A 2,335-nucleotide genomic window follows, 5' to 3' on the forward strand; every position below is an offset into this window, starting at 1 on the left:
GTGATTCTGGCCCACTCATTTGAGCACACAGCAGAGCTGGCAGCCTCCCTACACAGGTAGTGCATTTCAGCATCACCCCTGCAACTCATTCTCCCACTCCTTCCCCACCCTCACCTGCCCCTCCAAACAAGAACGGTGGCTCAATACACAAAGCTTAGATACACAAAGCTTAGATGTGCAGTGGCTTTCTCTCTCTCTCTGTCTCTCTCTTTTAAGCTTCTGTTTGGAAGCTGTTTTATCACTTCTGGTTCCCTTTCAGAGCACCCAGGAAAGGTTGCTTTTTTAGGGGTGATGGTGTTTTCTCCTGGGAAATTCGTTTTGCCACCTCTGTACTGTGTGATCTTGAGTAATGAAAAGAACTCCTCAATTCTGGGCAGTGTTTTTCACAGTTCCTGGTACCCTTTCATACACATCATCTCATCTCCCAAAACCCTGTGGAGGAGGCAGTATGGTGTGCCCATTTTATAGATGATAAAGCTGAGGTTGGGAGGGGAGAGGTTTTCAGAGTTGTGGTTTCCAGAGCCCGTGGAGGTGTTTGTGCAAGGTTGATGCTCAGTATTTAAGCACATGGGCCCAGAGAGGGCCAGGGATTTGCATTTGGTCGCACAGCAGGGTATTATCACCAAACTCTCCAGAGCCAGTCAGCAGGTGATCCTTTCTTTCCCAAACATTGACTTTCTAAGAAAACTTTACTTCCACAAACAGGCTTAGTCTTAGGTTTGAATTTATCCATATGGTTTGTGTGTGGGTAGCTCTTTCCTTCCCACTGCTGCAGGACCGGATTCTCCACCTCATTCATGTTGAGTGGCATTTTGGATGGGATCCTTCCTGCTTGTAGGGGCTCTCCTGTGCACTGGAGGAGGTTTAGTGACCCTGACCCATTAGATGCTAGTAGCACCCCGTAGCCCTGACAACCCCAAATATCTCCAGACGTTGCCAAATATCAAGGCAGGATAGGGTGAGGGAAAATCCCCCTGGCTGGGAACTGCAGCATTAGATGACCTCAGTATGTGAGGCTGCCAGAACGCACTCCCCAGTCTACTGCAGATGGCTGTTAGATTCCTTTCCACTGTGGAATTACAATGGGTGATACTGTGATGACTATCCTTGTGCAAGTCTTTTGGGGGAATCTAGGCATGCGTTTCTGCCATGTAGGTACCTAGGAGGGAATCACTAGGTCATAGGGTGTGCATAGGTTTGGCTTTATGGGTTCTGCCACAACATTTTCCCAAGTAGTAGTATCACTTCTCACTCTCCCAGCCACATAGGAGAATTCCAGTTCCTCCCAATCCTCATGAGTCTTCAATTTGAACTCTAATTTTTTGAAGGCTGAGGCCCAACTCACTTTATTTTTGTGTTCCCACTGCCTGACATAGTAAATCACAGAAGATACCAGTTGTTAAGTGAGCACAGGCATGCATGCTGGCCTTCTGCTTCAATGTCCTACGATCCCGATGTCACAGCACTCGGCTCTCACCATCAGGAGGCAGTTACCCCTCAAGGCCTGCTCTTTCCCATGTCCCCAGTCCCCAGCAAACGCAGCAGCTCATGAGCTCTGGGGATGAGGCCACGTTTTCACATTCTTGGTGAGTTTCGTATCCTGACACAGCTGTCAAAGCCAAATGCCATCATTGTGTGATTTCAAAGGGTTACTGAATTGTTTTCAAGTTGTCATTCTAACAAAACTTGTCTATCAAATGATAATTTGTTTTTCCTTTTATGTTGTGGTTGTATTTTTACAGCTTACTGGAACTCTTTTTTTTTTTTTTTTTTTTTTTAAGACAGAGTCTTGCTCTGTCACCCAGGCTGGAGTGCAGCGGTGCGATCTCGGCTCACTGCAACCTCCGCTTCCCGGGTTCAAGCGATTCTACCACCTCAGCCTCCTGAGTAGCTGGGATTATAGGCATGCGCCACCACACCTGGCTAAGTTTTGTATTTTTAGTAGAGATGAGGTTTCAGCATGTTCGTCAGTCTGGTCTCAAACTCCTGACCTCATGATCTGCCCACCTGAATCTTTTTTAAGAATATGTTTAACTCTTCCAGCTCTTCTGCACATTCCTTAAATGTTATGCATCTTGAAGGCAGGCACTGTGTCCTCCCTGGTTTTTTAAGCACATGTCTCACCATGGCATCATTGTCATCATTGTTGTTGCTGCGGTAGTCATCACCATGTTGCTCATCTATGACACTTTATATTTTCAGAGTATTTTACCACGTTACCTTGTTCAAGCCTCTCAATAAGTCTTTTTTATTATCATATATTTTTTAGAGACAGTATCTAGCTCTGTTGCCCAAGCTGGAATGCAGCAGTACAATTATAGCTCACTGCAGCCTC

The sequence above is a fragment of the Homo sapiens genome, chromosome 20, assembly GCF_000001405.40.
Source record: "Homo sapiens chromosome 20, GRCh38.p14 Primary Assembly".
NCBI lineage: Eukaryota > Metazoa > Chordata > Mammalia > Primates > Hominidae > Homo > Homo sapiens.